The 10,771-nt window shown below is 46.2% G+C and overlaps 1 protein-coding gene across 1 annotated transcript, besides 5 other annotated features; it reads right to left on the bottom strand.

Moving 5' to 3' along the window:
• Positions 1,097 to 1,285: a silencer, noted in NCBI's record as "fragment chr14:20945841-20946029 (GRCh37/hg19 assembly coordinates)". NCBI's record gives its function as "represses an EF-1alpha promoter that drives an FKBP-Casp9 reporter gene in an ReSE screen in K562 erythroleukemia cells {active_cell/tissue: K562}" and the evidence as "EXISTENCE:reporter gene assay evidence [ECO:0000049][PMID:32094911]".
• On the bottom strand, positions 1,878 to 9,561 carry PNP (purine nucleoside phosphorylase). Its single transcript, NM_000270.4, has 6 exons — positions 9,432 to 9,561; positions 6,490 to 6,659; positions 4,392 to 4,495; positions 4,019 to 4,194; positions 3,715 to 3,905; positions 1,878 to 2,583 (listed from the first exon to the last, which is right to left on the bottom strand). Exons 1-6 carry the CDS (start codon positions 9,440 to 9,442, stop codon positions 2,366 to 2,368), a joined length of 870 nt encoding a protein of 289 aa, NP_000261.2. The 5' UTR covers positions 9,443 to 9,561; the 3' UTR covers positions 1,878 to 2,365.
• Positions 8,870 to 8,999: an enhancer, noted in NCBI's record as "active region_8079". NCBI's record gives its function as "activates an Ori minimal core promoter by ATAC-STARR-seq in GM12878 lymphoblastoid cells {active_cell/tissue: GM12878}" and the evidence as "EXISTENCE:reporter gene assay evidence [ECO:0000049][PMID:35858748]".
• Positions 9,030 to 9,099: an enhancer, noted in NCBI's record as "active region_8078". NCBI's record gives its function as "activates an Ori minimal core promoter by ATAC-STARR-seq in GM12878 lymphoblastoid cells {active_cell/tissue: GM12878}" and the evidence as "EXISTENCE:reporter gene assay evidence [ECO:0000049][PMID:35858748]".
• Positions 9,290 to 9,794: an enhancer, noted in NCBI's record as "H3K27ac-H3K4me1 hESC enhancer chr14:20937332-20937836 (GRCh37/hg19 assembly coordinates)". NCBI's record gives its function as "activates a minimal SCP1, AML or CMV promoter by ChIP-STARR-seq in naive H9 embryonic stem cells {active_cell/tissue: H9 hESC(naive)}" and the evidence as "EXISTENCE:reporter gene assay evidence [ECO:0000049][PMID:30033119]".
• Positions 9,510 to 9,629: a silencer, noted in NCBI's record as "silent region_5566". NCBI's record gives its function as "represses an Ori minimal core promoter by ATAC-STARR-seq in GM12878 lymphoblastoid cells {active_cell/tissue: GM12878}" and the evidence as "EXISTENCE:reporter gene assay evidence [ECO:0000049][PMID:35858748]".

The following is a 10,771-nucleotide window of genomic DNA, read 5'->3' as shown; positions in this document are numbered from 1 at the left end:
ATGGTACGTAAATTTTATCTCAATACAGCTGTTTTTTAAAAAAGAAACTGAAGACATTATGTCTTCATATAAATAAATATGAATTTAGTAAATCTACTTACTAAGTCTAAAAAGCTTACATATTCCACTCTTAAATATTCCACTCAAGTATCTCTAGGACATATTTTTCAGATGGCCCCATTGTGATTCCTGGTCAATCTGACCAAGAGGGAGACTGGGGGTAGGAAAGCCAAGTGCCAAATGCAGCCCTCCTCAAACCAATTACCTTTCTGCCTGTCTCACCGGAGCCTTCCATGTCCTGATCTAGTCCCACCAGTTGTGACAACGACTCACGAACATGCCTAGTACTTTTTGCAGCTCTGCTTTGCCTCATCCTGATGTGAAATCCTCTTCCCCTGCTTCATCCTTCAAGACTAGGCTCAAAGTTTTCTATAAAACTTTACCTAATATTAAGTATCCATCACTTTAAGCAAAAGAAAAAAAGGAAAAAAAGCTTTCCCTAATCTACCCAATTCACACTGTTCGGTGTATACAATCAATCCCTCCTTTGAGCTCCCACGTGTGACTTGTACTCATTTTGTACAAGCTTTATACAACAGTGGCTTTGTAAATGAATCTTAAGATTGTAGGGCAAGGCCAGGCACGATGGCTTACTCCTGTAATCCTAGCACCTTGGTAGGCTGAAGCAGGAGGATTGCTTGAAGCCAGGAGTTCGAGACCAGCCTCAGTAACATGATGAAACTCCATTTCTACTAAAAAATACAAAAATTAGCCAGGTGTGGTTGCATACACCTGTGGTCCCAGCTACTCTGGAGGCTGAGGTGAGAGGATCACTTTAGCCTGAGAGACGGAGGTTGCAGTGAACTGAGATCACAGCACTGCACTGCAGCCTGGGTGACAGTGAGACCCTGTATCAAAAAAAAAAAAAAAAAAAAAAAAGGAGACAGAGCCACTCCAAGATGCTTTTTCTTTGTATTGGGCAGTTAAGTAGGTCAGTTACCAAACAAAGGATAATTTGAAAGTTCTCCAAAGCAGCCTGTGCAAAATATCTCTTCCGTATTATACCACTAACAACTAAAATGTTGTCATTACTAGAGGCTCATCCAGCACTGGTCTTTCTCAAAAGGCACACAGGCCTGGGAGGGCAGTGTGGTTTTGAAACATGCCAGCCAGCTGAATGCAAGTTGATAAGCAAAGATAATAGTGCGGTGAGCCAACATGGGGGAAATGCCTGGAGGCAGTATCACAGGGAGGTTCTGACAAGCACAAGTGAAGAGAAAGACTGGAGCCCAGAAAGGAAGAGGAAGGAGAGAAGGAGGCACTCAAAGAGAAGCAGAGTATGAAACAACTTCACAGGTTTGCCTGGGGCTGGCAGCAATCCAGTCAACAGTGGAGTGGCTGGCAGCAGAGAAAAGTGTTTGCCACTGCCTTGTCAGCATGGAGTGAATGGAGAGTGTGGCTGCAGATGTTAGAGAAGAGTAGGAGAGAAAAGGCAAACAAGAGGAAATATAATTAGGGCTTTGGTAAGGAAGTGGGAACTAAGGAAGAGGCTAACCAGTGAACTAATTCAGATATGATCAAATAAACAGGAAATGAAACAATCAGAAGGCAAGGGAGAGAGGCAGGACCAGCCTGACAGAAGTGGCAATCAAGTGCCAGAAGTTAACTTTTCTTTACCATCTCATAACCTCTTTCCACCTCACCTTTCATCATTTTGCCCTTCTTCATCCTTTGCTGCCCTCACATACTATCTCATCTCAGTTCCTAACTGCTTGTCTGAGAAGCAGATAGTCACACAAGACATGCGATCTCACATCCTTTCATGTCAATCTTGGTCTGTGCCCCAGCCCCATACCAAGTTACACAAAAAAATGAAATTATTTCATCTTTCTCTTTATTCTGACAACATTATGACATTAAATAAAATCCAAGAGGTATTGGATTAGTCCTTGTTTGGTCTCTGGTGATTTAGATAAGGCAGAACTGAGCCCCTCGGAATGTATTATCTCAAAGAGCTAGTAGCAGCTGCTATGCAAAGTTCTAAGGCCCGAGTCAAATCCTGGGCATCTCCACAGATGTGTGGTAGGGCACGGGCTCCAGCTCTTGTGTAAGAAAGAACAGGAATGAGAACAGCTTTATTTTGTAGCGCCAAGGTCTCACTATGCTCACACCTGTAATCCCAGCTTTGAGAAGAGGATCTGGCACCAGAAGGGTCTGGTAGAAGAAAGTGGGAAAGGTGAAGGACAGGAATCTTTTCCTTTCTGCTACAACCTAAGGACAGAGGCACATGACTCCAGCAAGGGGCCAAAGAAGGTAGCAGCTACTTGGGTCTTGTGTGGGAGATGCCAGACGACTCCAAGGCAGGTCAACTGGCTTTGTCAGGGAGTGGAATGCTGGCCATAAGAATGGAGACAAACTGTTCCAATTTCTGTGCAGCTTGTTTGCCAGCTGCTAAGACTTCTTCATGGTTGGCCTTCTCCAGGCTTTCATAATCCATGATGACCTTGTTAGTGATGAGTGAGAAGCCAAAGACTCGAAGTCCACAGTGCCGTGCAACGATAACTTCTGGTACTGTACTCATGCCTGATAGTGAGAAAGATGGAAACCAACTGTCAGGATCCTCAAATAACTCTTTTCCTTGCCCTTTAGCCTCGCTTTCAACAAGAATTAAAAATCTCAAAAAACATCCAAAGATGGCCGGGTGCAGTGGTTCACACCTGTAATCCCAGTACATTGGGAGGCCAAGGCAGGAGGATGTCTTGAGCCCGGGAGTTTGAGACCAGCCTGGGCAACATAAAGAGACCTCGGCTCAAAAAATAAATAAAATTAGCCAGGTGTGGTAGTGTACGCCTGTGGTCCCCGTTACTCAGGAGGCTGAGGTGGGAGGATTGTTTGAGCCCAGGCAGTCAGAACTGTAGTGAGCTAGAGATGGTGCCACTGCACTCCAACCTTGGCAACAGAGCAAGGCCCCACCTAAAACAAATCCAAAGAAGCAGCTAAATTATCTTCTGTATTGCCTAAAATAAATACACATTTCTTAAAATTACCAATACAATCCTTCATTTCTATATTTGTGGCAATTTTGAACTCAATCCTAATGATAGAGTTCCATCTTCCAGCTAGAGGTACAGAAGGTGGCTATAGTGAATTTTTTAGAATTCTTAGAAACAGTCATCACATTGGCCAGGCACAGTGCGTCGCGCCTGTAATGCCAGCACTTTAGGAGGCCAAGATGGGCGGATTACCTGAGGTCGCGAGTTCAAGGACCAGCCTGGCCAACATGGTGAAACCTTGTCTCTACTAAAAATACAAAAATTAACCGGGCGTGGTGGCACACGTCTGTAATCCCAGCTACTCGGAAGGCTGAGGCATGAGAATTGCTTGAACCCGGGAGGCGGAGGTTGCAGTGAGCCGAGATCATGCCACTGCACTCCAGCCTGGGCAACACAGCGACATTCCGTCTCAAAAAACAGTCATCAAATCATGGATAGATCATTCATTAGCACTGCAGCTGTTAACCCCTTGGTGCTTCGTAGGGAGATTTGATGCTACACCAAATCTCACCAGTTTGTATTTCAATAAGTCAGTTTAATTCACCCTTCCCTGAAATCAGATCCTCTCAGTCCAATGAGGCCTGTTATTTCCTACTCCTTCCCCTTCCCATTTTGCTAAACCCCTCCCTCTTCAAGCTTCCAGCCAAATTCCCCTTCTCACCAACAGCGTCTGCTCCCAGCTTCTGCAGCACACGACATTCTGCCACAGTCTCAAAGCTGGGGCCTGCCACCATCACATAGGTGCCTTCCTGTAGCTCACGTTGCTCCCCCATTTGTTTCCAGGTACTGAGAGCCCTCTGCCTCATAGTCCGGTCGTAGGCATCAGACATGGCAGGGAAACGATCTCCAAACCTAGGACACAGGTTGAATTATCTCACATAAACGGAATTTTAAAAATTCTCCCACAGCTCCTAGAGAAGTCTTTAAATCCTACCCACCTAAAAAAAACGGAGTAACATACATACCTTTCATCATTGGGCCCTCTGAGAGGGTTCTGACCACTGAAACCAGGTAGGTTGATATGGTCACGGATCAGCATGATATCTCCAACCTCAAACTTGGGGTTCAGCCCTCCTGCTGCATTGGTGACTACCAGGGTGTCCACACCCAGAAGGTGGAAAACCCTCACTGGGAATGTCACCTTCGAAGCAAACAATCCGAAAAAAATTTACAAAATTTCATTAATTCAGCTACACTGAAATGCATGACATACATCGTGAAAGAAAAGGAAGGAGAGGACCAAAAATCCACCTAGCCCAGATAGCTAGGTAGTGAAAGAGGCTAGATAGTTCTCTCCTGCCTCTTCCAGATCCAACCGGACCTATCCCTCTGACTTACCTTCCAGAGTGGGTACCCTTCATACATGTGGAACCTGCCCTGCATCATCACACAGGCCCTGCCATTCAGGAACCCAAACACCAGTCGGCCAGCATGACCTGGCACTGTATACAAAACAGAAAGAGAAATGAATGGGATTATATTTTCATGCAACACATATCCATTAAGCACCTACTGTGAGTTACTCGCTCTGCTCAAAATGTTAGGTTGTAATTAAGTAAAAGACTCATTATTATCTCTGCTTTCAGAAAGTTTAAGTCTGGTGAGAGAGCCAGGCATTACTAATAATTATACAAATACAACCCAAGATTAGAGATATGGGGTGCGTTCAGCATGTTCAGCATGAACACACAAAGAAGGAAGGGCTTTTTAAAGAAATTTCAAGATAATACAAGCCATACTGCCAGAGAGTAAAAAGTGAGCAAAAAAAGTAGATACTCAGAAATGGAAGATTAAATACTACATGTTCTCACTTATAAGTGGGAACCAAATGTGTACATATGGACCTACAGAGTGAAATAATAGACACTGGGGACTCGGAAAGGTGAGAAAGTGGGATGGGGATGAGGGATGAGAAATTACCTAATAAGTACAATGTTCACTGCTCAGGTGATGGTTACACTAAAGCACAGACGTCACCACCACGCAGTATATCCATATAACAAAACTGCATTGTACCCCTGTAAATCTATAAAAATTAAAATTAAAAATAGGCCAGGTGCGGTGTCTCACACCTGTAGTCCCAGCACTTCGGGAGCCCAAGACAGGCGGATCAACAGGCCAGGAGTTCAAGACCACCCTGGCCAACATGGTGAAACCTCATCTCTACTAAAAATACAAAAATTAGCCAGGTGTGGTGGCACATGCCTGTAATCCCAGCTACTCGGGAGGCTGAGGTGGGAGAATCTCTTGAACTTGGGAGGTGGAGGTTGCAGTGAGCCGAGATCACAACACTACACTCGAGCCTGGGTGACAGAGCGAGACTCTGTTTCAAAATAAAGTGAGTACAGTGAATGCAGTAATTATAGACCTCTTCAAATTTTTCAAAGTTCTCAAAACATGTATTCTTATCTATTGCCCTAACTTAATTACCTGCCTCCTCAGTCCAGCAAGCAAGCTCATAGTATACTTACTCTGGCTTCTTAAAGAAGAGGCTACTGAACAAGGGGGAAAGAATTTGAACGCATGCAAGTGTCTCTTTCCTTATGACCCACGGAACAGTCCTATGGGAACACATGCCCACGGAGGGGTGCGTGGGAGTGCAAAGATAACTCCCCACAGACATAACAGCCATTATTACCATTTCTTTTATCTGGCAGTCACTTCTAATAGACGGCCAACCTATCCCTTAGGGAATGGGAGAGGGACTAGAACCAAGAGGAAGAGCTGAGAAATTCTCAAAGATAGAGGAGCTTATGCAAAAAAACAAAACAAAAACAGTAATAAAGTTGACAAAGGAAACCCAAGTGGAGTATAAAAAATAAACATGTTGATAAGCTTAAAAAAACTAACCCACTTATCATTTAATGCAGTGCCCTTCTCACTGGGGGTAGGAGTGGCCAGTGGAGCCAGCGTCACTACTATCTCCCTTAGAGAAGTATGCCCTTCACACACCCTCTGTTAATATTTCCCTCACCTTCTCCCTCTGCTCTTCCAGTCTTGTGTTAAAGAGTTTAAAAAAATAGCTATTAAAGGTCTTTTCCTGCTGACAGGTCTTAAAAAAAAATTCTTAACTCTCCAGGGAAAAGAAGATAGAAATCTTAAAAATTAATAAATAAACCAACAGAAGTTAGTTATTTGAGAAATTACGTAAACCAAATAAACAACCCTTGCCCTTTACTTGGCCCCTGTCACCTGGCCCTCTTCTGAGTCTTAGCCTCAGTCCACTGACACACACATGTCCTGTCTCTTATGGGATGTCTGCTAGAGGCATCTCCTAAAGTCACTCTGACTCATGGTGGGCTTTTCTCCTCTCTTACAACATTTGTCTTCAGTGAAATGCTAGGTCAAGGAGTAGAAACATTGGCCTCCTTGGTTGTGTTCCACAGAATTCCAAGAACATCCCTCAGTCCCATTCCCCACTTTCCCTTGCCAGTACCTGTACTTCGGGGAAAGTTGGGGATTTCACCGTAGTCAAAGATCTGGGCCTGAGTTAATTTATCAGTCAGACCTCCTAATCCAGAACCACAGATTATTGCAACTTGAGGTCGGTGCTTAGTGTGAGACAGAAGCCATTCTGCAGTGTTCTTATAATCTTCATAGGTGTATCTGGGGGAGAAAAAATATCAAGGTGAATTCTGCTCCCATTCCAAGGGCATCACAGACAAATGACCTTCGGTGCAAAAAGGCTGGCAGGTATACTGAGGCAGCAGGGACGGAGAAGCTGGCACAGAGGGAAAGGCCATACTATGCTCTTCCATCTACTCAGCCACCCTTCTTTCTGAATCAAGCCCACTACAAGTCTGATATGAAACTACCTCCATTCTAGAGCCTGGCAAAAGTTAATAAAGCCTGTTTCTACTAACAGGCCCAACTCCAGTGTTGGATCCACTGAACACTGGCAAGCTGCATACTTATCCTTATGACAAAGGTTTAGAGAGGAAGGGGCCAGAGTGTACGGGGAAGTGCAAGGAAATAATCAAATTAGGGAGGGTAAAAGGGCTTGGCCAGGAGGGAGCCCAAGAAGAGTACTCAAAATGGGATTAAGCCCTTCCTGAGGGTGGTGCCCACCTAGTAAAATCCCCCTTATTACCTTACCTGTTCCCCAAAGACATTCAAAATGTAATTAAGACCAACTACTATGAAGGCAGAGATAAACTCAAATTTCCTTTTGAACCCTCATTCCTCCAGTTCCTTCCTCAGCCAAAGACTTAAGGGCTACATTTCTTTTTTGTTTTAACCAATAAAACACAATGGGACCACCCCTGGTAGAGGTCTACGTGCCATTCTTAGCTCCCTGGATCACAAGGGGGTTAATTCCAGACAAAAAACTAGATAAACTGCTGTACAAAAAAGCAGACCCAGTCCACAGTACTGGTTGTCAAAGGTTAAACCAGGACTGACTACACAAATTCTCAGCAGAAGCTTGTTAGAAAAACAGATTCTGGCACTCCAGCCTGGTGACAGAGTGAGACCCTATAAAAAACACACACACACACACACACAAAACCCCCACAAAAAACAGATTCTGAAGCCCATGTAATTTTGATTTTAAAACCAGGTTTAGGGGCTGGGCGCGGTGGCTCATGCCTGTAACCCCAGCACTTTGGGAGGCCGAGGTGGGCGGATCACGAGGTCAGGAGATCGAGACCATCCTGGCTAACATGTTGAAACCCCGTCTCTACTAAAAATACAAAAAAAAAAAAAAAAAAAAAAAAATTAGCCGGGCGTGGTGGCGGGCCCCTGTAGTCCTAGCTACACGGGAGGCTGAGGCAGTAGAATGGTGTGAACCCGGGAGGCAGAGGTTGCAGTGAGCCAAGATCGCTCCACTGAACTCCAGCCTGGGAGACAGAGCGAGACTCCGACTCCAAAATAAATAAATAAAAATAAAATAAAATAAAACCAGGTTTAGGAATTGCTGGTCTGGAGGGAAGCAGAATTCGACCTAGATTCTAGTCCCAATATTGTCTTTTTAGGCATGTAATTTGTGCTTTAAATTATTTTCTCAGGTATAAACAAGGGATGTAAATTGGCCCCATCTATCTTATAGGCTCAATCTGAAAATGAATTGAATACTTGCTAACAACTTCCAAAGACCTATGGCTCTGTTACACAAAGTATTTGAATCTTTCTCCTGCTTTCCACCTGCCTGTGGTCTTCTTCCTGTCCTTCCCCCTCCCTGCCTCCTCCCAGTTTCCTTTCTCTCCACCGAGGATCTTTGCTCTTCAGAAACCTCAGGGCACTTACCCAGAACCCCTACACTAGCAAGAATCAACCCGTGTTACTTTTCTCCCAGTTCCAAGTCCAGTTCTCTCACATCCATCTGGGAAGACCAAACGTTGCTTTCAGAGGTGGCAATGAGGTGTGACAGAGCTGAACACAACTAACCAAGCTTTCACAGGAAATTTTTTACTTGGAAAGCAGAGCCCGGGAAACCAGACATGATTGCACAATACACCAGGCTACCCTCAGGGAAGCAGTTGGATCAGGTAGGTTGGGGGCTGGTCAACGGAGCCACAGGACAATGGAGAGAAGCAATTAAGCTGGTAAAATGTTAATCAAATGGCATCCCCAAAAGGTGCAAAGGAAATGAATGTGTGAAGCTGCCGCCACATGGCATGTCTAGCCACATCTCACAGCACTTCCTCATTGGCTATCAGTCCCCTCAAGAACACCCTGGCTCCCTGGGCATCCAAAAGCAACTGTGATGCCTAATGCAGGTCACTTGGACTGGGATATCCAGGACCCAAGCCGAGAGAAGAGTTTTCAAAGGCGTGGGGTGGGGGAAGTGAGCACAGGACTGTTGCTCAGTTCGGTGACTGATTTCCGTCTCCACTTAGCAGTCACTTCCCACCGAGTTAATCATACTGCCAGTCTGGAAGGAAGGGAGGAGTGCAACTGGCAAAGGAGGTGAGTAATCTTGCCTCTAAAGGAGGAACTCCGAATTTGAGCACCAAAAGTACCTCGCAGCTTTACCCAGACCCTAGCATGGGAATTTATGAAGAGCGCAGGGGGTGAGGAGACCTCCTCCTGGTATGGAGTGAGGGATATATACATATACTCACTCTCCACTTGTTCCCCTAACACACACACGGAGACACACAACGGCTGCTTTTACGGAGTAGCTTAGACCGCACCGACCTGTCCCCTTCCTGCTCCGGTGGCGCCACCCCAGCTCGATTCCCGCGTGCGTCCCTGCCCGCGCTGGCTGCCGCATGACTCTGCCGCCTTGCTCCCGACACTAGGCTCAGTGCCAGGCCTCTCTGCATCCCCTGGGCGCTCGCTCCCTCCGCCAGCTCCCTCTGGGCCCAGTGTGCCAGGTTCCCGGGTCACAGCACCTGCCCCTCCCCAAGGGTCCTGCGGGCCTGGTGCCCTCCTCACCCGTTCTCCATGGTCTCGCAGACGCCTTCTCGATGAGCCTGCTCCGGTGTGCTCCGATCCGCTCCGATCCGATCGGATCCGCTCCGCTATGCTGAACTGAGCAAGGCTGCCGGGTCTGGTTCGCACAGTTGGCTCACTGGTCTAGGCTCTGGCTTATATCCCTTGCCCTGGAGTCCCCAGCCAATGGCAAGCGAGCACGCGGGCCGGCCCTGTCTCCATGGTGACACACCCTAATTCAATCGGCTGAACCTGGGCTGTAAACCTAATCAGAGTTCTTCCCAGCCCTAAACCTTCTGCCCCGGGGCGGGCGGGGGGAGCCGGAGCGCACCCAGCATTTCATCTCGGTACCCATTCCAGTCCGCAGGGCAGGAGTTCCCAGCAAGAAGGCCTATGCGGAAATAGGGCTAGAAGTAGGGAGGAGAGCCCCCAGCCCTCTCCTTGCAACCTCATTCCAGCTGTGTCAATAGCAAACCGTGAGAGATTCAAAAAGGAAAAATTTCATACCTTAGATTGTACAACCCCAGAATAAAAATGAAGCGAGACTGTGTCTGAGTTGCTCCCTGGACAAGGGAAGCTGGGTCGCCCCCGGCAACAGTGCTAACTTGGAGGATACAGGGTTTAGGAGAGCACATCCAGGCCCAGACCGGGAGAAGAAAAAGTTCTCAGGCAAGAATTCCGGGGTCCTAGATGCCGACAGAAAGGATAAGGATGGATTTGGTGGGTAGGGACACAGATAATCCCTTGATCTGCGCAATATTGATCCAAGCAATTCAGGTAACTAGAGGACTCCTCCCACGAAGAAAATTCTGTTATCGGAATACACGGGTACCAGAATATAACATAAATAGCGTGTCTTTGGTAGAATACAACTATTACTTCTGCCCACATTTACAATTTAATTTTTACATTTAATTTACATTTTTACATTAAATTTACATTTAATTTTTAATTTAAAAAATTAAAAAAAAATTTATATATAAAGGCCAGGCGCGGTGGCTCACGCCGGTAATCCCAGCACTTTGGGAGGCCGAGGTGGGTGGATCACCTGAGGTCAGGTGTCGGAGACCAGCCTGGCCAACAAGGCAAAACCCCATCTGTACTAAAAATACAAAAAATTAGCTGGGCGTGGTGGCAGGCGCCTGTAATCCCAGCTACTTGGGAGGCTGAGGCAGGGAGAATGGCTTGAACCCGGGAGGTGGAGGTTGCAGTGACCTGAGATCACACCATTGCACTCCAGCCTGGGCAACAGAGTGAGTAGCTGGTTCCTGAGAACTTACTAGCACTTTGAAAATAACAATGCACACAAATTGAAAAAAAAATTTCGTTCTTAAATAACCACA

The sequence above is a fragment of the Homo sapiens genome, chromosome 14 (genome assembly GCF_000001405.40).
Source record: "Homo sapiens chromosome 14, GRCh38.p14 Primary Assembly".
Taxonomy (NCBI): Eukaryota; Metazoa; Chordata; class Mammalia; order Primates; family Hominidae; genus Homo; species Homo sapiens.
The sequence above is the reverse complement of the archived record's forward strand: the minus strand, read 5'-3'. Positions and strand labels throughout refer to the sequence as shown.